At 40.2% G+C, this 27,233-nt stretch overlaps 1 pseudogene, besides 4 other annotated features; it reads right to left on the bottom strand.

The window, feature by feature from the left end:
- LOC107986665 (plasminogen-like protein B) overlaps window positions 1-26,937 on the bottom strand; it is a 124,780-nt pseudogene extending 97,843 nt beyond the window's left edge.
- Window positions 10,456-10,965: an enhancer, noted in NCBI's record as "active region_25406". NCBI's record gives its function as "activates an Ori minimal core promoter by ATAC-STARR-seq in GM12878 lymphoblastoid cells {active_cell/tissue: GM12878}" and the evidence as "EXISTENCE:reporter gene assay evidence [ECO:0000049][PMID:35858748]".
- Window positions 10,976-11,025: an enhancer, noted in NCBI's record as "active region_25405". NCBI's record gives its function as "activates an Ori minimal core promoter by ATAC-STARR-seq in GM12878 lymphoblastoid cells {active_cell/tissue: GM12878}" and the evidence as "EXISTENCE:reporter gene assay evidence [ECO:0000049][PMID:35858748]".
- Window positions 11,066-11,585: an enhancer, noted in NCBI's record as "active region_25404". NCBI's record gives its function as "activates an Ori minimal core promoter by ATAC-STARR-seq in GM12878 lymphoblastoid cells {active_cell/tissue: GM12878}" and the evidence as "EXISTENCE:reporter gene assay evidence [ECO:0000049][PMID:35858748]".
- Window positions 21,107-21,608: an enhancer, noted in NCBI's record as "NANOG hESC enhancer chr6:161200290-161200791 (GRCh37/hg19 assembly coordinates)". NCBI's record gives its function as "activates a minimal SCP1, AML or CMV promoter by ChIP-STARR-seq in naive H9 embryonic stem cells {active_cell/tissue: H9 hESC(naive)}" and the evidence as "EXISTENCE:reporter gene assay evidence [ECO:0000049][PMID:30033119]".
- Window positions 26,938-27,233: the final 296 nt, after the last annotated feature.

Raw genomic sequence — 27,233 nt, 5'->3', positions numbered from 1 at the left:
AAAAGAGAAAATCAAGTTTTACTTTTGTATTAGTATATTATTAATACTAAAACTAATTTTAATACAACCTAATTAATTCATTTATCAAAGCTGTCATCTTTTAACTGCACAAGATTTCCATAAACCTTTTGTTTTACAGTTTTATCCAAATTTTTATATTCACCTTGCTTTATATGTTTTTTCACTCCTTCAGTTTGAAACCTTTAAGTTACTTCAAAACAGACAAAATTTTTAACACACACTTTTATGCCTTCATAACTTTCCTCTTCAAACACATATCTTGCTTTTGTTTATACACTTTGTATACAAAATTGTTTCTCTCATATCTGGTAGTGTTACAGGAAAGTGGTCTTGATCTAGACCCCAAGAGAGGGTTCTTGGATCTCATGCAAGAAATAATTCAGGCCAAGTCCATACAGTAAAGTGAAAGCAAATTTATTAGGAAAATAAAGGAATAAAAGAATGACTACTCCTCAGACAGATCAGACCTGAGGTCTGCTGGTAGCCCATTTTTATGCTTATTTCTTGATATGCTAAACAGGGGATGGATTATTCATGCTTCTCCTTTTAGACCATATAAGGTAACTTCCTGATGTTGCTATGGCATTTATAAGCTGTCATGGCACTGATGGGAGTGTGGCAGTGAGGGCAACCAGAGGTTACTCTCATCACCATCTTGGTTTTGATGGGTTTTAGCCAGCTTCTTTACTGTAACCTGTTTTATCAGCAAGGTCTTTATGACCTGTATCTTGTGCCAACCTCCTGTTTCATCATGTGACTTAGAATGCCTTAACTGTCTGGGAATGCAGCCCAGTAGGTCTCAGCCTTATTTTACCAAGCCCCTCCTCAAGATGGAGTTGCCCTGGCTCAAATGCTTCTGACATTTCCCTGTTCTCTTTTATAAGAGAACCCTTAATCCTAAGAGTTGCAGAAGGATGAAGATCCATCTTCTGTAACTTTCTCAGGCTGAATAAGGGTGATGATATTCCTGTCTATCTATTAGGGGTATTCTATTCCTGCCTCTCATATGTGGAGTAGTGAGGAGCTCAGTCACAAGTCATCAGTATGGTGAGGGCCATTCAAAATCCAAGTTTCAACAAAAGGCACTATTTGAAAGATTAATAAGTGTTCAATTTAAGAAAATATTCAGTAAGCTTATTCTGCATTTTTACACAAAGAGTACAACAGCAATATATTTTACAACAGTAAAACAAAATAAGTAAAATTATCTCAAGTAAACTAAATTAGAAGGCTTTCCATGAATTGGCAACTGTTGGAACCAAGCTGATATGGGGTTGCTAGCTGATTCTAGTGTGCCCAGAATTAGAATATTGATTTAGATTTTTACATTACCCATCTCTCTTGTTTCTTCTGAGCAGGAGTCAGAGATCACTGGTTAGTTCATAGGAATAACCAGGATTAGCCTAAATTGCAGAAACAAACTTAAAAACAACTGATGAGACTAGAATTTAATAACAGGCATACCATAGTTCTTGAAACATAATATTTTTCTCTCCAGTTTCCCATTTTCACTAAAGACAAATCGTGGTAAAACTGATTTGCTTTTTTATACTTGGCCTGATTATTTGTTCCATAAGGAATCTCAGATAAGACTTTTTTTTAGAGCTGAGCCCTGCCATGGGTTTGAACCCTCAAATACCTATGACTTGAGTAAATCCCTCTCCTTTTGGGGTTCCAAGATAACTTGGGGGCTCCTGGGGCTATTAGAAAGTGACATTCTTTACTTACCACAGGGCAGAAACCCTGTACAGGGACTGTGTAGGCAAAGCCTGAGGCCGGTTCCTCAAGGGGCTTTCATTGGCTCCACAAGTCAAATTTGATTCCTTAAAGGAAAGCATGCTATTCCAGTTAAAGCCTCCATAAAATAACCAGTTTCTCCAATTTTGTCCTGATGGAAAATAAAACAGATTTGTATTGCACTTATGCAAATAATTATATTGCCATAAATTAAGAATACTCACAAATAGTTTCCAAATTTTGGGGAAATTAGGTAGAGAGAAACAAATATGCTTCAAATTTGGTTCACAGGCATATATTCAATTGTTAAAAGCTATAAATAGCTTCCATTACTTCAGTCCATGCAGTTCTGTTTGATATTCATGAACATTTCAGCTATGAGAGTTCTGAAAGTTTTCTCTATTCTAATGTCACAATCTCCAAAGTTATCAGAAAATCTCCATTTAAATGCACCTGTTAAAGTCCTATAGTTGATTATAAAACCACCTTTTAAAGAGGACCAAAACAAGACAACAATTGTATGTGGATTATAAAAAGTCTTAGGACAGCCACTATTAAAGCCACAAGTGATAAGGAAATTTGGTTATTTTTGTGGCATACAAAAATTTATATAATGATTATAATTATTAATAACATATACTGTCATATCAGAATTATAGGAGTTTCCCATTATTTTGGATTACATACCAAAAACATATTTATTCAAATATAGCCCAAAGAAAGCCAAACACCATTTCATATTTGGCAGTACTTCCTGCATGATTTTTGTACCCAATAAGCCAAATTTCACCTTTACATTAATGTACTATTTATGTTAAACCCAAATCTTAATAAAACCTTATAGACAAATGTATTTAATCTTAATCAGTTTGACCATGAGGTAAGATTTTAATAAACCTTTTATAACCATTTAAAAATTTTGGTTAAACAGCAGATTATAAGCAGGTTTTTGCTCTAAGAAAAACCTGTTGTGCTTTTATTCCAATGTTCAATTTATCAAAAAACTGAATATCATCCCTTTAATTTTAGTCAATATGTTCACACAGATAATTTCTTCTATGAGATTGATATTTCACAGACCTTTAACAACTTGCTTAACCCTTCAGCTTTATCCTAACTTAAAACAGTCCTTTAACTCTCTAAACTTAGGGAAGAAATCCATATTCCCATGCCTTCTTATAATCTTTTATCAAATGTACATTCTACTTTCCTTACACACCTTGAACATAAAGCTGTTTCTTCAGTAGTCTCAATTACATGTTATAATGTCAACTCTTTTTTTTTTTTTTCAGACAGAGTCTTGCTTTGTTGCCAGGCTGGAGTGCATACAATGTTAACTCTTAGCAACTTTTATTTTTGGTGAAAAACCTGGTTAGTAAGTGATTTGAACTATGTACCAGGTGTGGAGCCTAGGACCCAGACAGAAGTGCAGATAAGATCCGACTCTTTCCAGCATAGCTAGTGAGTGTGGCTAGCTCCACATGGTTCTAGGGCTTATCTAGAATCCAAAGCTCCAAAGTAGGTAAAATGAACAATTTTCAAAAGTCAAAGAAGCAGTTTATGACCTTAAATCACTTAGAAAACCTAATATCTGACCCACATAATTTAGACCAAATGTTTACATTTTAAAGATTTTTATTTTACCAATAATCTTTAAAACTGTCTTTATATCCCAAAGATTACTTAAATCATGTGAACTAAATAAAAGATATTACACGTTTTACTTTTCTGATCAAGTATTTGATGTAAGCTCTTATTATTAAACCATTTAATTAAAGCTCTTTTAAATTACACACACAACATATATAAATACACAGACAAAATAAGATAAAGGACTCATTCCCTAAGCCAGGAATTGAACCCTGAACCTGGGCCACCACTGTGAAAAGAGAAAGTATCACTACATGGCTGCAAGGTCAGGCTCCCCAAGATATACAAGACAAGAGGGAAATCTCATCCAGTTTTGTTTTTAGGGACCTGCCGCAAAATTTATAACTGACCAGTTTGCTGGGCCATCTTGAACAGTGGGCTTACTGGTGTCCTAAGCCCATGTTCCATCCTACCATACCGCTCTTTATGGCAGAACAATACAGAAAGACACACAAAGCACGCCAGATTCACTATAGCTTAGGACTAGCCTCACAAATCCTGTTTTCCATTAATCTAAACTTTACAGAGGAGATAAACAATGCTTTTTACCATTCATTCAACCAGTTTGCACAGAGAGAGAGAGAGAAAGAAAGAGAGAGAGAGAGACAGAGAGAGAGAGGAAGCATTGCTTGAGGCAGGGTGGGGAAGGTGAGGTGCTCAGGGAAGCCAGAGAAAGATGCACCCATTGCAGTGACACTGAAAATTTCAGGCGGCTGCTTGTCAGTAGCAAAGGGCTATTTTCCAGCAGTCTCACGAGCTCTTGAGTTTCCCCTTTTAAGGAGGAGAAAGCTCCCCATGTCCCACAATTCTATACATGCCCACAGACGTCAGCAAAGAGTTCAAGGCTGATTAATCCAAAGAGAATAGCAGTTAACATCTCATAATACCAAACCCATTCTTAGCCAAAAGGGACTTTACTGAAACAGGCTTCTAACTCCTTAAATCTTCAGAGGGACTCTAACCCTCCTAAGCTGGGCCTTTAACCCAAGGTGGGTAAAGTGTCCTTGCCTTTTATCAAGTGTGCGCTAACCCACTCTGTCTTAGGAGAGACTCTGACTCCCCTAAGTTTGGCCTCTAACCCAATTCCACCCTTTACCTGGGTACCCCACCACTTACCCAAAGTTGGCCAATCAGTGCTGTAGTCTATTTCCTTTGGGTCAGGGGGTTTCTTCAGTATTGTCCCCTCAGTGTTCACCAGAAAGATATTACTGGCCCCTACCACTTACCAGTTATCTTTTGGGTGGGGGTTTTCTGCACTATAGTCCCTTTAGTGGTCACCAGAAAGATGCTACAGGAAAGGAGTCCCAATCCAGGACCCAACAGAGGGTTATTGGGGTAACTTCCTGATGTTGCCATGGCATTTGTAAACTGTCATGGTGCTAATGGGAGTGTAGCAGTGAGGACAACCAGAGATCACTCTCATCACCATCTTGGTTTTGGTGGGTCTTAGCTTCTTTACTGCAAGCTGTTTTATCAGCAAGGTCTTTAAGACCTGTATCTTGTGCCAACCTCTTTCTCATCCTGTGACTGAGAATGACTTAATTTTCTGGGAATGCAGCCCAGTAGGTCTTAGCCTCATTTTACGAAGCCCTTATTCAAGATGGATTTGCTCAGGTTCAAACACTTCTGACAGTAGTTTTTAACTGTTAGTAACCCTTATTTCTAGTGAAAACTCTAGAAAGTAATTTTGAACTGTTTCATATCAGTTATTTGTAGATAAAAAGCATTTTATAATTTTTTAGAGAGATAGTTCTTCAAATTATTTTTTATTATCAGATCTAAATATATTTACTTTTCTATACTATATAGAAATAATATGTCAAGGTATATAGACTTAAATGCATGTGTAATAATGAATATTTCAGTATCTTAACTTGAACACGACTCATTTTGTGAATTTTTTTATTACTTAATTAAACATAACATGACTCTAGGATTTTAAATTACTGAAAAGAATTTTGAAGCTATGACACAGGCAGCCTCCCTAATGTCTCTTCCCAGTCATTCTAAGTCCCAAGAAGCCATGTGCCCCCCATGAGGACTATGAACATCGGGGCCTGAGTCCATCAGGACAGAAGCCAGAGCTGTGAAGACTATACTTGGAGGATCCAACCGCTCCCACAATAGCCAGGAGGCAAAACAGGGAAAGCAGAGGAGGAAGAGGCCATATTGGGCTTGTAGCTGGTGGTCTAGACTCTAAGAACGTGTCTCCAGATGTCATCATGGCCACCTATCCAGACCCCTGAATCCAGAGACTCTAAACCAAAGACATAAGCTCACAGTCAAATCAAGTGGGTATCTAATTATATTCAACTGATAATTTTGAAGACATTTCTATTTTACCAATAAATTAAAAACTATCTTTATTTACCAGATATCACATACACATAACACATATAGACATACAAACAAACAGAAGCAGATCTTATAGCTTTTGCCAGTTTTAAAATACTTTTTTCTTTTCTCCATTTGGTGTATCAATCTTTCTATTACCTGTTTCATTTCCCTAAGCAATTGTTAACTCAGCAACAAATTTGCATTTCTAAAGGGACAACTCTTAGGTGTAACAAAAAGGATGTATATTTCATAAGCACAGAGCTAAGATTCTCAGCCTAAGTATTGATTCATTATTTGTTCAAATCAAGGAGAAAAAAAAATTGCTCAAGTAAAAGTTCACTTAAGATAGAAAAGCACCTTAAACAAAGGCATTACTTATTATTTAAATTTAAAAGAATGGTTAGAGTTTCTATTGTATGTAGGCAGACATCCTTAAAAATTGAGATTTCTTTTATAGATGGAAATTTCTTATACAAAAGAGTTTCAAAGTAGCCAATTAAATTCCAGAAAGGTGCATTTTATTTCAATAGGGTGTTCTTTTTAATGTAGCCACTGTCTCTTGGTTAAAATTACTGAGTTCAAGGGGGAACTCATTATGGAACAGAGCCAAGAAAGCATCCTCTATGCCTGGCCTCCCGCATGGATAGGTCTGAACAAGAAGCAAGTCTATTTTACCTGAGGGCTTAACTTTTATAAATACCTTATCTAGGATAGCTTTCTTTCTACCTTTAGGGTGGAATAGTAACTAAGCAAAGATTAACAGATTTAATTTTTCTTATCAATTAGTTTCTTAAGCTTTTTATTTGCCTTTCATAAAATCTTTAAATAAAAATATTGAAATCTTTTTAGAAGCTTCTGAATATCAATAGACATCCCTAGATGAGACTAATTTGGGAGCCCTATTTTTCAAATGCATTTCTTCAGTGCAGTGTTGTTTATTTGGAACCTTCCATGATAACTTATCTTTAGTAAGATTTCACCATTTCTGTTAAGACTTTGCTGTTTCTGTGGCCTAATACTTATGCATTGTGAAAGGAAAATAAATATTGGGGCCCCAAAATTACTAAGCTAAAGGGAAGAGTGAAGCTGGGAACTGCTTAGTCCAAACCTGCCTCCCATTATCTGAAGCTCACTAAGATAAATGCATATCTGATTGCCTCCTTTAGAGAGGCTCATCAGAAACTCAAAAGAATGCAACCATCTGTTTCTTATCTGTATATGACCTGGAAGCTCCCTCCTGGCTTTCCAGACCTAACCAATGGTCATCTTACATATGTTGATTGATGTCTCATGTCTCCCTAAAATGTGTAAAACCAAACTGTGCTCTGACCACCTTGGGCACATGTCTGGTCAGGACCTCCTGAGGCAAGTTTATTGGATAGGGCTGTTAACCTTTGTAGCGCTTTTGCTATAGTTCCATCAAGGGCAGTATTATTAGGAAAAAAGGTACAATATTGAGTTTTGTATAAGACATTTAATTTATTGGTCTTTGTGGGGAATTAGACGCATCACCACTGTGTTACAATTGAGCCATTAATTTTGTAGCTTTATTAACTGGTTTGCTTTCATGACACTGCCGAGGAATCAATTTTTTTCTGCAGAGGTTCCAAGATTGAGTTTTAATTACGACACAAACATCTCCTTTTTCTGCTAATATTATATTTAAAGCTATTTTTTAAAATTTATTTTTCTAGGCCATCTGGCTGGTAGATCCTAACTGCTTAGCCATCTCTTTGATGGTGTCCTCAGTGTAATTTATGAATTATTGCTGATTGTAATAGATATAGTTTATTTAGTCTACTTTTTTTTAATACTTACCAGAATAACATGCATTTAAATTCTGCAGCTGTTTCATTTTGTGCTTTAAACTTATTTGGCACTTCTCACAGGACCTTAATAGCATTTATGTAAACCTGAGGATTAAAAGACTTATAAAGAGTTTTTCTTGGCCTGTGGTGTTTTGTTTTTACCTTTTTAGATTGATGAAATGCCAGGGTGAAGGGGATAGCCAATTGGATTAGAGCACAAGTACTGCTCCAATTATTTGGCAGAGTGTCCAGTAAAGGTCTTCCACAGTACCACCATAAATGTGTGTGGGGAGGACGGATGGGCAAGCTCTTGGAAAGGCTTAAGCTCCTTGCATCCTTTTATGCTTCCAAGGAACACTAAATTTTACCCCTGCCGTGAGAGGCATGAAGTAAACTTGGCATTCAGAAGTGGAAGCTGGATTGCCCTCAGGGGTTGACCCGCAGGGTGTTGAATTTCAGGATATAGCAGAGAGAGCTCAGTATGTTGGATTATCCCAAGCTGTGGGATTTTGAAAAACAGCCACCATACAGTCCATATCTGGTCGACAAGGAGACCATCGGAGTGGAAAGGGGATAATCTGGGCCTCAGGCCTACGGTGTGTACAAGTATAATAATCGCTTTTATTTAAAGTGCGAATGGATTATTTAGTCCATTTCAGCCAGGCATTTGCATCTTGATATTTTGTCTTGATGGCTAAGGTCTGTTTTAGATCTCTTATTTTTACAATAGACACCCTAGCTTTATTAGATGTAGGAGCAACTGTTGTGGGATCTAGATCTGAGGCTACCGAAGAAGGGGAAGATGGCGGAATAATATATATTTTTAAAATACCTGGGGTCGGGGAGTCTTTTCTATTTATGTCAATTCTTATACCATAGAAGTGACTAAGGGCAGGTCTAGAGTTAGTTAAGGTGGAAGGGGTGATAAAGAGAAGGACAGGGTTATATAGATAAGGCTGACAGTTAGAAGGGGTAGTCCTTTTAGTGAAATAGATGAGGGGTTTTAGATCTGCAGAAACCTTTTCGTGGAAATCCAGCTTTGCTCCTGGGTAGTTTAAGGGATGTAGTCCCATTTACTACAAGGTTGCCAGGCGGTAGGAGCAGAAGATCAGCGTCTTGGCTGCAGGTCATTACAACAATGAGTGCTAGGGGTAACTGTGTCAACTAGAGTGCTGGGGCATAAATATTTGTGTGAAAAGGCTAGTTGTTGTTGATCTTTTACATTTCCTCAAGGTATGACAGAGCAAGTATTAAAGGCAATAGGTGAGTCAGACTTAGGTGAGTCAGACTTAGTTATATTATTAATAAAGGAGCTAGTAACAGAATAAGGAAAGGAAAGGAAGAAATATAGAACGTATATGAAAATTAATCTTTCTTTAACGTTAACTTAGTAGGGCTTGATCTTAGTACAGTAACCCATGATTCTGAGAGGAAGATGTTTTCTTGACTTGAGTATGGTGGGTCCAATTTTTTTTTTTTCTCAGCTGTGCAGATGGCAGTCTCAGTGGTTAACAGCATAAAATAGGGTTCTTCCCAGGCTGGCTTGAGTTTCTTCTTTCTAGCTTTTGATGAGGACGTGGTTTGCAGGCTGGTGCTGATGTACGGGAAATTCTAGGGGTGGTACCTGTGCTGAAAGACTTCTAGTTTCGAGGGAAGGGAAAGTGGAAGATAAATTAAGTATATAATTTCTGCTGCATATACTGGGGCTTGAGGCCTCATGGTGATGCCTACTGCTCCATTCCTGCTCAGCACCACCCAGGGGACTCTGTGGCCCTGCCCCGTCTTAATGTCTTGGCCTTCTTGTGGCCTTTACCGCCCCTGCGCATTGTGGCCTTGGGGATGAGGGGCCTTGTGACTTACCTGGCTGCCTTCAGGCCTTAAGAAAGCTAAACACCATTTTATGTTTGGCAATGTTTTTGTATGATTTTATACTAGATAAGTTAAATTTTACCTTTATATTAATGTGCTATTAATGTTAAACTTAATTATAATAAAATCTTGTAGACATTATCCAGTTTTAATGTCTGACTATAAGGTAAAACTTTTATAGACTTTTTTTAACTTTTTGTAATTTTTGTTAAAGAGCAGTTTAGTGCTTTAAGAAAAATATATTGTGCTTTTATTTTAATGTCCAGTTCACAGAAAAACTGGATGATACCCATTTAACTTTAGCCAATATGTTTACACACAGAATTTCCTTTACAATTAACATTTTAAAACTTGCTTAAACCTTTAAAACAAAATTTTTTTTAAACTTTAATGTAGGTAAAAATCCATATTCTTATGCCTCCTTATAATCCTGTTATTAAAAGTATATTTTATTTTTCTTACATACCTTGTACATAAACTATTTTTTAATAATTTATATTCAGGAGGTGTAATTACTTTTAAATTATACAATATTTCTTGCATAAATTCCCTTTTATAGTTTTTCTTATGACTTTCACAGACAATCTTCAACATGTCTTAACTTTCTGCATTCTTTTTACACTATTTCTTTTCCTAGTTTCACCCTCTGTGTCTTTCTTTGATTTCTGTCTCTTCTGGTTTCTCTCTTACTTACTCTTTCCCTCTATTTCTCTCTCTCTCATTTGCACTCTATTTTCCTCTCTCTCTCTGTCATCCCGTTTCCCTTTCTTCTCCCAATTTCTATGGGCCCTGCCCCCGTGCACACACTGCCTTCTGTTTCTCTCTCTCTTTTTTTTTTCCCAATTCCCCTTTTTACTTTCTTTCCTTTCTTCTTACACTTAGTTTCTCGTGCTGGGTGCAAATTGCAAGAATTATGCCCATTCACCTCCTCTGCTCTCCTCCAGGTGCCTGTCCCCACCATCTTTTTCACATAGAGCTGGGCTGGGGAGAGATACTTAACCCTTGGTGTGCCTGCCTGGCTGTTTGGCTCTGTGCTTGCTGTTTTTGCTTTCTTTCTCTCTGACTTCCTCTCCTAGTTTCTTTTTCTTCTCTGCTGGTCTTTCCTTTGTCTCTGCCAGCCACCTATGCTGCTGTTTTCCCCTTTCCTTCCCCTTCCCCTTCCCCTAGGGGAAGGACTGGTGGGAGTGGAGCTACTCTTTCTTAACCCAAGAAGAAAGGAAAGGGGGCTTCTGAATATTTTTCTTACTACAGGAGTTTTGTGTGAGGTTCGACGCCCCCTCGTGGGGATTTCTCACCTCTTTCTGAGGTTCAACTCCCCCTCTGGGGATTTCTCACCTCTTTCTGAGGTTCAACTCCCCTCATGGGGATTTCTCACCTCTTCCTGAGGTTCAACCACCCCGCTGCCCAGGGATTTCTCACCTCTTTCTGAGGTTCAACCCCCCCTCATGGGGATTTCTCACCTCTTTCTGAGGTTCAACCCCCAACCTGGGGATTTCTCACCTCTTTCTGAGGTTCAACTCCCCTCATGGGGATTTCTCACCTCTTTCTGAGGTTCAACCACCCCGCTGCCCAGGGATTTCTCACCTCTTTCTGAGGTTCAACCAACCCCCTGCCCGGGGATTTCTCACCTCTTTCTGAGGTTTAACCCCCACCCCCAGGATTTCTCACCACTTTCTGAGGTTCAACCACCCCCCTAACCTGGGGATTTTTCACCTCTTTCTGAGGTTCAACCCCACTAGGGATTTCTCACTTCTTTCTGAGGTTCAACCCCTGCTGGGGATTTCTCATCTCTTTCTGAGGTTTAACTCCCCCTGGGGATTTCTCACCTATTTCTGAGGTTCACCCCCACCCCCGGGGATTTCTCACCTGTTTCTGAGGTTCAACTCCCCTCATGGGGATTTCTCACCTCTTTCTGAGGTTTAACCCCCACCCTGGGGATTTCTCACCTCTTTCGGAGGTTTAACCCCCGCCCCGGGGATTTCTCACCTCTTTCTGAGGTTCAACCTCCAACCCCCAGGGATTTCTCACATGTTTCTGAGGTTCAACACCCTCTGGGGATTTCTCACCTGTTTCTGAGGTTCAACTCCCCCTAGGGATTTCTCACCTCTTTCTGAGGTTTAACCCCCGTACCAGGGATTTCTCACCTCTTTCTGAGGTTTAACCCCCCCCCCCGCCCCCGGGGATTTCTCACCTCTTTCTGAGATTCAACCCCCACCCCCCGGGGATTTCTCACCTTTTCTGAGGTTCAACCCCCGCCCCCCTCCCCAGGGCTTTCTCACCTCTTTCTGAGGTTCAACCCCCACCCTGGGTATTTCTCACCTCTCTCTGAGGTTTAACCCCCCTCATGGGGATTTCTCACCTCTTTCTAACCTCCAAGACATCCTGACTAAGGAATACTTTACCACCCCTGCAGTTTCTCTCTCCTTGGTATGTCCTAACCAAGGAATGCTTTACCATCTGACCATCAAGGAAATACTTTACCAGCTCCTGCGGCTTCTCCTTCCTTGGTCTGTGCACAGAGTTGTCGCTGCAGTATGTGAAGATCCTTTAAGCTAGATTGCTGGCCAGTTTCTTTTTTATTTTTTTGCATTGCTGAGAGTCCGGGTTTATTCACCACACTGGGTGGGTCTCAATTTCTCATCCCTGAGGCACCTTCAATGAGGTAGGGGAGCATGCTCCCTCATGAGAGAGGACTGGAGACCACCCCTAGAGGAGAATGTATCCCTGTACGGATTGACACCAAATTGTTTGAAATGCTTGTTCCCCAGTGCCATAAAGAAATAGCACTTGAACATAAATTTATTTAGTAAGGCCATTTTTACTTCCTGCAGAAAGGGTACACTCACCAGCAGTTTTGCCATGAGAGTTCACCAAACAAAGGAGACAGGGTCATTTATAACCTGACATGTCCACCCTACTGCTGTGTCTGGTTTCTATTGGCTGGAATGGGACCTCACATTCTGTATTTGTCCCGATTGGCTAACAACTTAGAACTTTTTAAAAGAGGCAAAGGTAGAGGAAAACAAAGGAAGGAGGAAGTAACTTGTGGAATGCTGAGAAAGGTAAAAATACTTTTAAATAAGGAAGAGGAACTGGCTATGACCTAATGCTTGCTTGGATCAGTATAAGCATGTCAGGGCAAATATTTAGTCTAAATTGTGGGAGCTAAGAACACAAAGTACATTGATTTCTTTATTACGGCTAGCAGATATTTAAGAATGTTAGTACAGTTCTTTGAATAAATTTTGCTTCTAAGAGAAGTTACTATTTATTTCTAATTAGGCGGGGAGGAAAGTCTTTGAAGAGGAACCTCTACTTTACTTTTTTACAAATAGAAAGGAAATGTTTAGGCTAAGATAAAGGATTGTGTGGCCAGGTGCAGTGGCTCACACCTGTAATCCCAGCACTTTGGGAAGCTGAGGCGGGTGGATCACCTGAGGTCAGGAGTTCGACACTATCCTGACCAACATGGTGAACCCCCATCTCTACTGAAAATACAAAACTAGCTGGGCCTGGTGACACATACCTGTACTCCCAGCTACTTGGGAAGCTGAGGCAGGAGAATTGCTTGAACCTGGGAGGCGAAGGTTGCAGTGAGGCGAGATGGTGCCATTGCTCTTCAGTCTGGGCAACAAGAGCAAAACTCCGTCTCAAAAAAAAAAAAAAGTAAAGGATTGTGGAGACCAAGTTTTATTGGGCAGAGGGAGGTCTCGGATAGCCGACTTCAGAGAGAGCAGGTTGTGAAATGTTTCTTATCAGACCTAAAAGGATGCCTGGCTCTTAGTTGATTATTCCCTGGATCTGGAAAGGAAGGAAGGGGGAAAAAAAAAAAAGGCAGTGGAGGGGCGGTGGGAAGGGGATTCTCTGCAGAATGTGAATTTTTTTCCATGAGGGACAGCTTTGCAGGGCCATTTCAAGATATGGCAGAGAAACATGTTTTGGAGTAAAATATTTTGATTTTCTTCCTTGTTGTGCCAGAGTCAGATTGGAAAGTAAGTCACGATATACAGAGTTAAATAAACCCCATCTGATGAGAATTTATGGTTTGTAGAGCATGACTCCCTAGGCCCCTTAGATAGGAATTTGAGCGAGATAAAAAATATCAGAGTTTAGTCCTTGATGGGTCCAGTGGGTACCTTGCTTAGTCACTCAGCACTCATGGGGTCATTAGAGGATCTACTTTGGATCCCACTTCTGATGCCATCTATTAAATGAAAAAACTTCAACTGAATTAAATATAAGAGTTTAATTTAGCAAAGAATGATTTGTGAATCAGGCAGCCTCCTGAGCCAGAGTAGGCTCAGAGACTCCAGCACAGCCACCTGGTAGAAGATTTATGGACAGAAAAAAAGGAAAATGACATGCAGAAAACAGGTGTGAGGTACAGAAACAACCAAATTGGTTGCAGCTAAGCGGGCATTTGCCTTATTTGAACTTGAACATGGTTTGAACAGTTAGCCCTTGATTGGCTAAAACTTGGTGATTGGCATAAAAATAGGCTTCAGTCTGTTTACATCTTCATTGAGGTTATAGTTCACTATGTACAGAGAAACGTTTAGGCTGAACTTAAAATATGTAAAAAGCCAGCTTTAGTCTAAACTTGATTTAACAACATAAAGACTTGAGGCAAAGAGAATCCCATAACTTGCTCAAGATCACAGAGAAATGAGAAACTCAGAATAACCCTCAAGTTCTCTGGCTCCAGACTGGATGCTGTTAACCTCCCCTAGGCTCTCATGTTTATATTGCTTTGGGCCTATAACTTTTTTATGTGTGTGCATGAAATTGTGAACTTCTTTTCAGTGATAATCTTGTATTCTTATTTTATGACACTTTTTAGTTCATTAGGAATAGCTCTTGAGTACGGCCATACCACCCTGAACACGCCCGATCTTGTCTGATCTCGGAAGCTAAGCAGGGTTGGCCTGGTTAGTGCTTGGATGGGAGGAATAGATCTTGAATTTCATAAATAGCACTCAGACATCTATTTTTAGGCTTATTTGTAAATGTCTTGATAAAATGTCTGACTACTGTTACATACTAGGGAAAAATCTCACTTTTTTGTGTGTTATGCTTTTAAACATAGATTTTGTTTGCTAAAATGTTATTTAGAATTTTGCATGTATTTTTCACTGGCTTGCGATTTTTCTTTTTATATAACATCTTTTTTAAAGGGTCTTTATTAATATTACACTCAAGTTTTCTTCTGTTTTCTATGCTCTGAATTCAAGCAGTTAAAATCCATGGGAAAGAGTTTTCCTTGACATTTTTGAAGAACTATGCATGTAATATTATATTGATTATTAAATTGATTAAAGCCTGGTAAGACGATTAACTCATGATTCTTGGATAAATGCTATTTTCTCATTCCTCCATTTTTATCTATATGTAAGGCTCTTGGCTTTGCATTTGGTTTCTATCTCTTTGTTTGGTTAAGTTCATCTTGGTAAAACACTAGCTCTCTCAGCATTTGTTCTCAGTTCTGTGAGGTAGAGTTGATAAACTTTCTCAGTAGGACAGACACATCAAAGTATGAAAATGCACCTTTGAGGACAGAGCCAAATGCACCTCTGAGGGCAGAGCCAAAACTTTGGAAGGTGTCATCCCCAGACCAACACCATAGCTTTTTAGTTTTTTAATTTTTTATTTTTTAAAAAAGAGACCAGTCTTACAGGCAGAGAGGTTTTGGTTGATCTGGTAAATGGATGGATCCCACTGCCATATGTTCACTGTTGCACTTTTTTTTTGAGTTTGGGAACACATAAGCTGACTATATAATTTATTATCCAATTAGGGTACTCTAGAGAGTGAAAGGAGGCTTTAAAGAATAATTTAAATGATATAATTTAACAACATATTTATTTGCTGATCAAAAAAATTAGTTTTATTATATTGGTGGGCCTATAAAATATTTTTATGAAAACCAAATTTTAAAATCATTTTTTCAAAAAATTAATAAATCCATATACATTAAGCAACATTTTATAAATTCTGTAATATTGAGTATCTAAAAATATGATGTACAAATTTCAATATTGAAATTCATACTTGTGATGTGGAATATCTTAACTTGTGAGAATAATCACCTTATAGTGTTCCTACATTTAATTAAATCAATTTATATCCTGTATCAAAATTGAAGGAATATAAAAAATCTTTGAATTTTGTAGCACCTACATTTGGCAAAATAATCAAAATATAAATTATTATTTGGTGAGTTGTCTGATACACATGTTTGCTGAAGACAGGGTCTGTGAAACAAGACCAAAAGACAGATACTCTGGAAAAATTTAAGCTATAATATTTATATATTTATGTGACAAGTTTATAACTGACAATATTCTCTAATAGTAGTTGTTCTACACATTGCAATTCTAGCATATATGGTGACAATATAAAGTTATATACCTTTCTTCAAAGTCATGTTTTGTGGTTATAAAAGTTGGAATTATCAACTTTAAATGCCAACTATAAATGCCAATGGAAATATGAATCCATGAAAATATGATGTATCATGGCCCTGGCACTGCACCCTAATGGGAAAAATGGATCAGACAATAAATATTTCTGAAGCATGGGAAACAAATGTTGTCCTTATTTCACACCATACAGAAAAATTCTATGTGAATCAGAGACTTGAATGTGTAAAGCATATCTTAAACATTTTGAAGAAGATTTGGTGGGGTTAGCTCTATGATTTCAGAATAGGAAGATAATTCCTAAGCTATATATTTCTATTGATAGGCCATAAAGGAAAAGATTAATGCATTTTTTCTGAAGGAAAATATTAATAAAAGTGTCCATTTATCAAAGAATAATGAAAGTTTCCATTTATCAAAGAACAGCATAAAAGATTAAAAAGAGCAAACAGTGGGAGAAAGTACTTATGGCACAGCTTCTGATTATTAAGAGAATCATCCTACACTTCAATTAGAAAAACTCATTGTTATGAATAGAATATTCATTGTCTGGAATATGTAATTTCCAGACAGGGGAAATGCAGGGCATACTAAAAGCACGTGACAAAAGTCTGACAAATCTGAAAATGCTCAGGAAGCTGGGGAATGGACAATAGCCCTGCACTATGGAGGAAGCGTAAATTGATAGAGTGATTCTGAAGAGAAATCTGTCATTATTTAGTGAGTTTGATCATATGTATACCAGATGATGCAGCTATCCTATTTTATGACATATAACTCAAAAAAACTATCACAAATCCCCAGAGAGGCAGACATGAGTATATATTTATCAAATCATTAGTTAGTGGGCTCAGCAGACATTAGTGGGCTCAGCAGACAATCTAAATGGCTACCTGTATCCATTTGCTAGGGCAGCAATAACAGAGGGTCATAAACTGCATGGCTTCAATGACATAAGTTTATTGTCTCCCAGTTCTGGGAGGCTCGTCTCCATGACCTCCCGACTCTGATCACTTCCCCTGAACCTCTGCTCCACATTCCACCCTGCCCTGGCCCCTGACCCCTCCCGTCCCCATCCACATGGTCCTGCCGTGGGTGCTCAGTCTGGCGTCCATAGCTACCTTCCCAGGCCCATCACTTACACAAAGCCTATGCTTCAGCCAACTCGATCTCTTAATGGTCCCCATCAGAGGGTGCAGGGCCACACCATCCCCCGCCTTCCTGGTGCTTGTCAAGAGCTCTCTCAACTCCAAACCCAGCTCAGTTCCTGCCTCCTCCCTGAGCCTCCTCTAGCTGCCTCAACCTTAGGCACTGTTCTTTCCTCTGGATCTGGGTAGAGCATGCATTGATTATGCCACTTCGCAGTACCTCACTTGGGCTTTTTTTTTTTTTTTTTTTTTTTTTAAACATTATGTCCAGTTTCTTTGACTACACCTTAAATACTAAAGGGCAGGCACTGGATCTTGCAGCTATAAGTCATTGCTCAGATCTATCTAGGACACTTTCATTCACATGATCCTCAACAAACATTTACTGATAATCATGATGTTAAAAACTAGAGCAAAGAACAATAGCTGCTAATGTTTATGTCCGGTGTAAAAATAAATAACTTCCTTTTGGGGTATTTTTCTAAAGGGGACTCCAATAAAACTTAATGAGAAGCTGTTAGTGTGGCTTCAGATACTGTGAGCAAATATAGTTCCAAACCCTGACTCTATAAATTCCTCTTTTCTCTTAAATCATTAATAAATTTGTGAATAAATAACTTGCCATCTGAATTACAGATTCCTGTGTAGGTGCAACGACAATGGAAATACCTGCAGGTGAATTCTTTGTCCTCCTCACATTTTGCTGCACATTCTTCTATACTTCCTGCCCCCAGCTCCTTCTTAGTGACACTGAACACGAAGCCCCCTGGGTATTCACATAGTCATCCAGAGGCTCTCCTTGACCCAGAGGTGGGAGATCCAAATGGAACAAATGCTCAGTTAATCAAATGGTCAGTTAACCAAGTCTGATTGTCATGAGTTCTTTTTTTATCTATTTGGTTCATATTAGTCAAATAAAACTTTCTGCTTTACTGGAAGCAGAATGCATAGCTATGAATCAAGATATTTAATGAAGAAAACACTTCAAAACATGGACGTAAAGATGGCAACAAAAGACACACTGGCAACTACTAGAGCCGGGAGAGAGGGAGGAAGGCAGGGGCTGAAAAACTACCTGTGGGGTATGAAGCTCACTAGCTGGGTAATGAGATCATTTGTGCCTCAAACCTCAGTGTCACGCAATCTTCACAGGGTGAGAGGCCAAAAGAGGCTAATTTACTCATGTAACAAACCTGCTTATGTACCTCCAAATCTCAAAAGTTGAAATTATATAAAAAACTTTTCCATTCACAGATTTCAATATATTAAAAGATTAACTAGATTGATAAACAGGTTAGAATGATGTCACCACTCCTGTGTTACTATATTAATGAATACAGTGTTATCTGGAAGTGGAAGAATCCTCAGATCTTTGTCTTACTTCGGAGAAAGAATTCTGCTAAGTGACTAATTTAGCCAAAAAAGACAATTTATGGAAGGAAGATAGAGAGCAGAGAATTTACACAGAGAGACAGTATGCTCTGAAAGATAAGGCAGAGCAGGCTGTTGAAAGGGAGAGAGTCAACAGCTTTCCAAGAGTTCTGCATTGAGTTGCTATGACATCAAACTCTTTCCTGAAGTTCCCACCTCTGTCTTAAGTCTCTGCCTTTTTTCCTTGTCTAGATTTCTTGCTCCTGCCTTAAGTCCTAGCCTTTTCCCAGCCTAGTCCCCACTCTAGGCTTGTGGGATCTTCCCTTAGTATTAGTTGATGTGCATGCATCGTCCTGGTGTTGGATACTGTTTTAGTCCGTTTTCATTCTCCTGATAAAGACGTACCCAAAACTGGGTAATTTATAAAGAAAAAGAGGTTAAGTGGACTCACAGTTCCACGTGACTGAGGAGGCCTCCTAATCATGGTGGAAGGCCAAATGCATGTCTTACATGTTGGCAGACAAGACAGAATGTGAGTCAAGCCTAAGAGGTTTCCTGTTATAAAACCATCAGATCTCATGAGAATTATTTACTACCATGAGAACAGTATGGGGGAAACTGCCCCCATGATTCAATTATCTCCCACTGGGTCCCTTCCACAACACTTGGGAATTATGGGAGCTATAATTCAAGATGAGATTTGAGTGGGGACACAGCTAAACCATATCAGATATGAATTCTACCTACCGGCTGCATTGCTCATTGCTGCTACCCCAGGAAGGTTGCATAGCACTCAGATCTGTACTAACTGCACTTGTGTATCTCTTAGGAATTCTTCCTTTGCCCTCTTCCCTCCCTATCAGCATGTACCTCGTGACACTTGGAAAAGTTAACTACTGAGTGAGCGATTGCTGGGCGTGTTAAGGGGCATTCCTCTCTGCCTAAGTATTCCCCCTCCTCTGCTCATATCTCGCATGCAGGACTCAGGCAATTTCTGGGGTGTGAGATTTTCCACACTTCCCTTTTCTCAGGGGCTTCCCCCTCCTGCTCATGTCTAGCTGTCTTCCTATTCTAACCATAAAACCTAAAATAAGAATAAATTTTGTGTTTGCTCTTGATTGCCATGTCATGATAGAAGAGTAAGGCACCATCAGTGGCAACTGTGTTCCAAAGATTGATGTTGATTTGTTCATCCCTGAGTAGAAATGGAACTTGGAGGCCATTATTTGATTTCTTACAATATGCGCTTTGGTTGTGACACTGTCACTTTAACTGGTGATAAGCATCCTCTAAATGGTCCCTCCTTGAGATACAAAAAATTTGGTGCACTGATGATGTTGGGAATAAATCAGAACTGAACTAAAGTATGTTGCCATCTTGCACAAAAATTAAGCAAAACACTGGAGGGTAAAAAGCTCCCCTACAAAAAGGGCAATTTTTGTATTGGGTTTACTACAGTGACACACCACTATTAAGTGGGGAGAAATATGTCTGTCCATGATGTTGACAGGCATCTGAATTTCAGAGGACATTGTAAAAAAGAACAGCCTGGGCTAAATACTGGCCTTGATTTTTCTATGAAATCAAATCTGTCCAAAAGCTGCTTTCTGTCTGGTTGTGGTAGCGTGCGGCCAAGGGGGCCTCAGCTGGGAGCTTTTGAGCCAGGATGAGCCAGGAGAAGGAATTTCACAAGGTTGTGTCATCAGTTAAGGCATGAACAGGCCATTTTCACTTCTTTTGTGATTCTTCAGTTATTTCAGGCCATCTGGATGTATACGTGCAGGTCACAGGGGATATGATGGCTTAGCTTGGGCTCAGAGGCCTGACATTCCTGTCTTCTTATATCAATAAGAAAAAGAAAACAAAATAGTGGTAAAGTGTTGGGGCGGTGAAAATTTTTGGGGGTGGTATGGAGAGATAATGGGCAATGTTTCTTAGGGCTGCTTTGAGTGGGATTAGGAGTGATGTGGGAACCTAGAGTGGGAGAGATTAAGTTGAAGGAAGATTTTATGGTAAGCAGTGATATTGTGGGCTTGTTAGAAGGAGCATTTGTCATATAGAATGATTGGTGATGGCCTGGATATGGTTTTGGATGAATTGAGAAACTAAACGGATGATACAAGGTCTGAATAAAAGAAGGAGAAAAATAGGTATTAAAGAACTAAGAATTGGGAGGATCCAAGACATCCAATTAGAGAGTGCCCAAGGGCGTACAGCGTAATTACTTGCTTGGTTGGCAAGTTTTTGGGCTCTATCCTTGACAGAGTCCTCCTTTTTAAGTTGGAGGCTGAGCTTGGTGAGGTGTTTTTAAAAAACCATTAGTCCGTTTACTTTTCCTGAAGATTGAGGACGATAAGGGGTATGAAGATTTCACTGAATACAAAGAGCCTGAGAAACTGGGTGATTTGACTAATAAAGGCCAGTCCGTTATCGGACTGTATAGAGATGGGAAGGCCAAACTGAGGAATTATGTCTGACAAAAGGGAAGAAATGACCACGGTGGCCTTCTCAGACCCTGTGGGAAAGGCCTCTACCCATCCAGTGAAAGTGTCTACCCAGACCAAGAGGTATTTTAGTTTCCTGACTTGGGGCATGTGAGTAAAGTCAATTTGCCAGTCCTGGACAGGGGCAAATCCCCAAGCTTGATGTATAGGGAAGCGGGGTGGGGGGGGGAGGCGGGGGTGGCTGAGGTGTAGTAGAGTAGCAGATGGAGCACTGAGAAGTGATTTCCTTAAGGATAGATTTCCAGGATGGAAAGGAAATGAGAGGTTCCAAGAGGTGGGCTAGCAGCTTATAACCTACATGGAAGAGGTTATGAAATGACAGAATAGAATGGGCCTGTGAGGCTGGAAGGAGATATTTTTCTTGGTCCAAGAACCATTTGCCTTGTGTGGGAAGGGATTGACAGGTGGAAGAGTCAGTGAGGGAGTGGCCAGATGAGAAGGAGAAAAACTGCCGTGAGGGATAGAAGTTGGAATGCTAGCTGCCTTTTTAGTTACCTTATCAGCATAAACATTGTCCTGAGTGATGGAATTTGATGCCTTTTGATGGCCCTTGCAGTGAATGACTCCAGCTTCCTTTGTAAGTAAAGCTCTTTGAGAAGAGTTTTTATTAAAGAGGCATTAATGATGGAGGACCCTTCCATAGTGAGGAAATTTCTTTCTGCCCATATAACAGCATGATGGTGCAGGATATGGAAGGCATATTTAGAGTCGGTATAAATATTGACGTGTAGTCCCTTTGCAAGAGCGAGGGCCTGAGTTAAAGCAATGAGTTCAGCTTGCTGAGAGGTAGTGGAAGGGGCAGAGCAGTAGCCTCAATGATAGATGTAGTGGAGGGCGCAGAGCGGTAGCCTTAGTGATAGATGTGGAAGATACTATAGCATAGCCTGCCTTTGCTGGTGAGTGGCGATTAGGCCTGGTGGAACTGCCATTGATAAACCAAGTGTGATCAGGGTGAGGAACAGGAAAGAAGGAAATATGGGGAAATGGGGTGAATGTCACATGGATCAGATACAGTCATGGGGGTCAGGTGTGGTATCTGGAATAATGTGGGAGGCCGGATTGAAGTCCAGGCCAGGAACAATGGTAACTGTGGGAGACTCGACAAAGAGTGAGTACAGCTGAAGGAGCCGGGGAGCAGAAAGTATACGTGTCAGGTGTGAGGAAGAAAATAGATTTTGGAAGTTATGAGAACTGTAGAGAGTGGGTTGAGCACAGTTTGTGATTTTGAGGGCCTCTAAAAGTATTAAGGCAGTGGCAGTCCCCACATGCAGACATGAGCGCTAGGCTAAAATGGTAAGGTCAAATTGTTTGGATAAAAAGGCTACAGGGCACGGTCCCGGTCCTTGTGTAAGAATTCCGATTGCACAGCCCTGCACTTTGGCTGTGTGTAATGAAAAGGGTTGGGATGAGTCAGGGAGAGCTAGTGTGGGAGCAGTCTCTAAAGCTGTCTTCAAGGAATGGAAAGAGGAGTGGGGAAAGGATTTAGGATCTATGGGGTCAGCTAGGTTTCCTTTTGTGAGTTTATATAATGGTTTTGTTAGGATGGCAAAACCAGGTATCCAAAGGTGATAGTATCCAACCATGCCTAGGAAGGAAAGGAGTTGTTGTTTTGTAGAAGGTGTTGGGGTGAGAGATCAGTCGGACATGATCGGCAGGGAGAGCACGTGTGTTTTTGTGAAGAATTATGCTGAGGTAGGTAACGGATGGAGAAGAAATTTGGGCTTGACTGAAGTAATGGGGGCTGTCTGTGAAGCCTTGTGGCAGTACAGCCCAGGTAATTTGCTGAGCCTGATGGGTGTCAGGGTCAGTCCAAGTGAAAGCAAAGGGAGGCTGGGATGAGGGGTGCAGGGGAATAGTGAAAAAAGCATTTTTAAGATCAAGAACAGAATAGTGAGTTGTGGAGGAAGGTATTGAGGACAGGAGAGTACATGGGTTTGGCACCACGGGGTGGATAGGCAAGACAATTTGGTTGATAAAGGGCAGATTCTGAACTAACCTGTAAGCCTTGTCTGGTTTTAGAACACGTAAAATGGGGGAATTGTAAGCAGAGTTTATAGGCTTTAAAAGCCCATGCTGTAACAGGCAAGTGATAACAGGCTTTAATCCTTTTAAAGCGCGCTGTGGGATGGGATGTTGGCATTGAGCGGGTTAAGGGTGATTAGGTTTTAATGGGCTGGTAAGGGGTGCATCATCTGTCACCAAGGAGGGAGTAGAGGTGTCCTATACTTGTGGATTAAGGTGGGGAGATACAAGGAGACGATGTGAAGGAGGCTTTGAACTGGGGGAAAAGGTGGCAATGAGGCATGGCTATAGCCCAGGAATAGTCAGGGAAGCAGATAATTTAGTTAAAATGTCTCGACCTAATAAGGGAGTTAGGTAGGTGGGGATAACTAAAAAGGAGTGCATAAAAGAATGTTGTCCAAGTTGGCACCAGAGTTGGGGAGTTTTAAGAGGTTTAGAAACCTGGCCATCAATACCCATAACAGTTATGGAGGCAAGGGAAACAGGCCCTTGAAAAGAAGGTAATGTGGAGTGGGTAGCCTCCGTATTGATTAAGAAGGGGACGGACTTACCCTCCATTGTAAGAGTTACCCAAAGCATCTGTGATGGTCCAGGAGGCTTCCGAGGCAATCAGGCAGTGTCGGTCTTCAGCCGCTAAGCCGAGATCTGGGAAGGAGTCAATCAGAGCCTTGGGCCAGTTGGACAGTCCAACTTCCAGTGGGGTCCCGCACAGATGGGACACAGCTTAGGAGGAATCCTCGGCTGCGAGCAAAAATGGATTATTGAGCAGGAGTTGGCTGATGCATTCTAAACCTAATCCACTAAAAAGCACTTGAGAGATGTATCAAAAGATCATAGAGAAATCGATATTTTAGGCCCATATCCATGTCTTCAACCTGCATTTTCTTCCCATTTGAATTTTCATTTCCAAGAAGAGTTGTGCTTTGTTCAATTCTATAGCTCAGAGTATAACTTCAAAACACGCAATAAATCCATAAAGTTTGTCTTACGGTGAGTTAAGTTAAACTTTCTGAAGATGTTTTTTTGAAATGTAGCAGAGCAGGCTACAATTGATATTCCAAAAGAGAAACTTCCATTTGTTTCCACCTTTAAGTTACCTGTAACTGTGTCATGTTACTATGCTTCACAGCGCATCACTGCTGAGATCGCCTCCCCAGCTCACATCCTTAGGAAATATCCCAAAACAGAATCAAATTTTCCTCTTTTTAATTTGATAATTTTCCCCCAAGGATTATTTTCTCTTATTCACCTCCAGGGCTCATATGGCAATGAGATGTATTAGGGTTTATTTGCTGGTGAAGAAACATTAAACAAATCTTTCAGTAGAAAAAACATTTTTATATTATAGGCAAATGTAGATGTATATTGCTACAGAAGTAACTGTATTTTATTAATGGTGTGAGAATTTCTTCCTCACTGTGGTGTGTGAATATGTATGCATATTTGCATGTGTAAAAGCTTAGTAATTTGTGAAATGGAAGATGTTTCTCCGCTTCTCACTGAGCATGGCTGTAAAAGAAACATTTTCCTCTCCCCAGGCATTGCAGCACACTGGAAAGATAACACGTCCACAGAAAGCCTGACTTTCCAAAAGAGCTTATGAGAGAATGTGCCCCCCAGGTTGGTTAAAACATATGTTAATCCTGTGGCAGAGAAGTTTGATCTAGCCTTTGGGTGTAGCCCGCTGAATAAGTTCACAGTGATCCACGTGCTAGTTTCCATGGGCTGAAATAGAATATTCATACCCCCTGCCCACATCCACACACACACGGACACCAATTTCCCCCAAAAATCTCTTCGCTGAATCTTCTCCTGCTCTGTGTTTTCTTTGATATTTTCTTGAATGGCTTCCACAGAATTCAAATGTATTTGACTCTAAAGTCAACTTGTAAAATTGTATCTGGTAATTAGATTAAATTGCAAGTATCTGGACATTGTTTATATGAAGAACTGTTTGGACACTTCATTTATATGAAGTGTCCAAAATAGGCAAGTCTATAAAAACAGAAAGTAGATTTGTGGTTGCCAGAAGCTGCAGAGGAGAGTCAACAGCCAGTGAGAGTGGAGTGCCTTTTGGGGTATGAAAACATTTTAAAATGTATTGTGAGGATGGCTGTACAACTCTCAATATATTTGCATCCATTGGATTGCATGCCTTAAATGGGTGAATGACATCTCAATAAAGCTGTTTAAGAGAACCTACTAGTATGATCGGGGACCTCCATTTTTCTAAGATAGCTTCATTATTTTTTTTCTCTTTTTTCCTCATTCTCCTAGTTCCCCATTTCCTACTTAGCCCTTTAGAAATACAAATATGGCCTTTTACTTCCCCTTCATCAGAGTCTGCCTTCAGGGCAAGTTCATCTAACCATGTGCTTTAAGATGGAACTCCTGAGTTCACATTCCATCTATAAACCAAAGCATACCCACTACAGAACTCTCACCCTCCAGGGAGTTGCCTCAAGAGACAACAGCCTGCTCACAAAGGCACCAGCAGTCACCAGCTCGACCAGCTGACAGATAAGACTCTGAAGCCTGGACCCCTGCACCCTTGTTCACTTCATCCCCTGCCTTTTAAAAGTGCCACTTTCTGCTCCAGAAGTGAAGTGGTGCAAGAGGACTCCTGAATTTCTTCCCCTAAGCTAGCGTTGGAAGTAAATCACTTTCTTTATACCAGACTTCTCTCTTCTTTTTTTTTTTTTTTTTTGAGACGGAGTCTTGCTGTCGCCCAGGCTGGAGTGCAGTGGCGTGATCTTGGCTCACTGCAGGCTTCGTCCCCCCGGGGTTCACGCCATTCTCCTGCCTCAGCCTCCCGAGTAGCTGGGACTACAGGCGCCCACCAACACGCCTGGCTAATTTTTTGTATTTTTAGTAGAGATGGGGTTTCACCGTGTTAGCCAGGATGGTCTCGATCTCCTGACCTCGTGATCTGCCCGCCTCGGCCTCCCAAAGTACTGGGATTACAGGCGTGAGCCACAGCGCCCAGCCGACTTCTCTCTTCTTAATTGGATTCTGCAAGTGGCAAACAACTAACCTGCTCTTCAGTTACACTGGGATGTGTTTAGATTATTTTTCAAAGGTTGGAACATAGTTGAAAAAGTGAGAAGAGTCCTAAATTTTTTCTTGGAAATCTGGCTTCAATCCAGGTTCCTTTATTTCCTTGATTTGGGAGTTTGGTCACTGGGCAAATAACATGATTTTCTATGTCCAGATTTCCTTGTGTATAAAATGGGGATGAATATACTACCCTACCTATACCACAAGATAAATAAGCTAGTATTTGTACGGGACACACACTCACAGGTGTGTATGTATGTACGCACGCATATATGTATGTATAACAATGTGGGGGCCTAACCCAAGCACTGAGTATTTGCTGAGTCAGTATCTGCAACGTCATCTGGCAAATGGATGTGTGTGATTTCTCCAGGGATAAGAAGCAAATGTATACTGATGGAAAGCCTTACTCAGGCCATAACAAAGAGAGAAATGCTGAGTCCCACTCCATGAACTGGTCAAGGAACAGAATACATTCAAAGAGATATTTCATTGTTTCAACTTGCAAGGGAGGGGAGCATGGCACCTGAACAGAACTGATATAAATTATTCAAACTGAGAACCTGGCGAAGACCGTAGCTATCCTGTGCATAGTTAGCTACGATGGCTATTTTTTTTTCAACTAGACTAGCTATCATGTGGGCCCACTCATTTAGATTTGAAAAATCACCCATTATTTTCTCTGCCCATTCATTCCAGCACACTGATAGTCTTCACAAGGAAATTAAACATATTTTTGGAAGAAATCGTCAATCTGATACAAGATTTTGAACTGGGAATTTCATGAATCAAAAATTAAATGAATTGCACATAAAGCCATGGCATATGTATTTTTACTACATTGTGGGAGAAAAAATAATTATTATACAAAAAATCTTTGCTCTACCTGATTTCAAAAATAAAAGAAGTAGAAGAACCACTTCCTTATGTTCCATTTTGGGACTGGCCAGCAGTGCCCAGAAAGTGGGTCCCAATCCCAGGACGTTGTTGACTTACATGAGAGTAAACGCACCCACAAACCAGATAGTCAAATTAAGTTAATGATTCTCTCAGAGACCCATGCCACTGGCTCAGCAGGGTTCAAACATTACCTTGAATAAAGGGTCCTTACAAAATGTTTGAGGGTGGAATCTGCAATAGATGCTGGGAAGTGGTGAAAGCAATCTCCCACCTCGGCTGCTCCACGCTGACTTTATTCCTGCTGACTCCTCCCCTCACCACTACACCTTCACATCTCCTGATTAGTCTTGTTTCCTCCTCTCTCCTTTCATTCCCTTTCTTTTGGACAAA

The sequence above is a fragment of the Homo sapiens genome, chromosome 6, assembly GCF_000001405.40.
Source record: "Homo sapiens chromosome 6, GRCh38.p14 Primary Assembly".
NCBI classification, from domain to species: domain Eukaryota; kingdom Metazoa; phylum Chordata; class Mammalia; order Primates; family Hominidae; genus Homo; species Homo sapiens.
The sequence above is the reverse complement of the archived record's forward strand: the minus strand, read 5'-3'. Positions and strand labels throughout refer to the sequence as shown.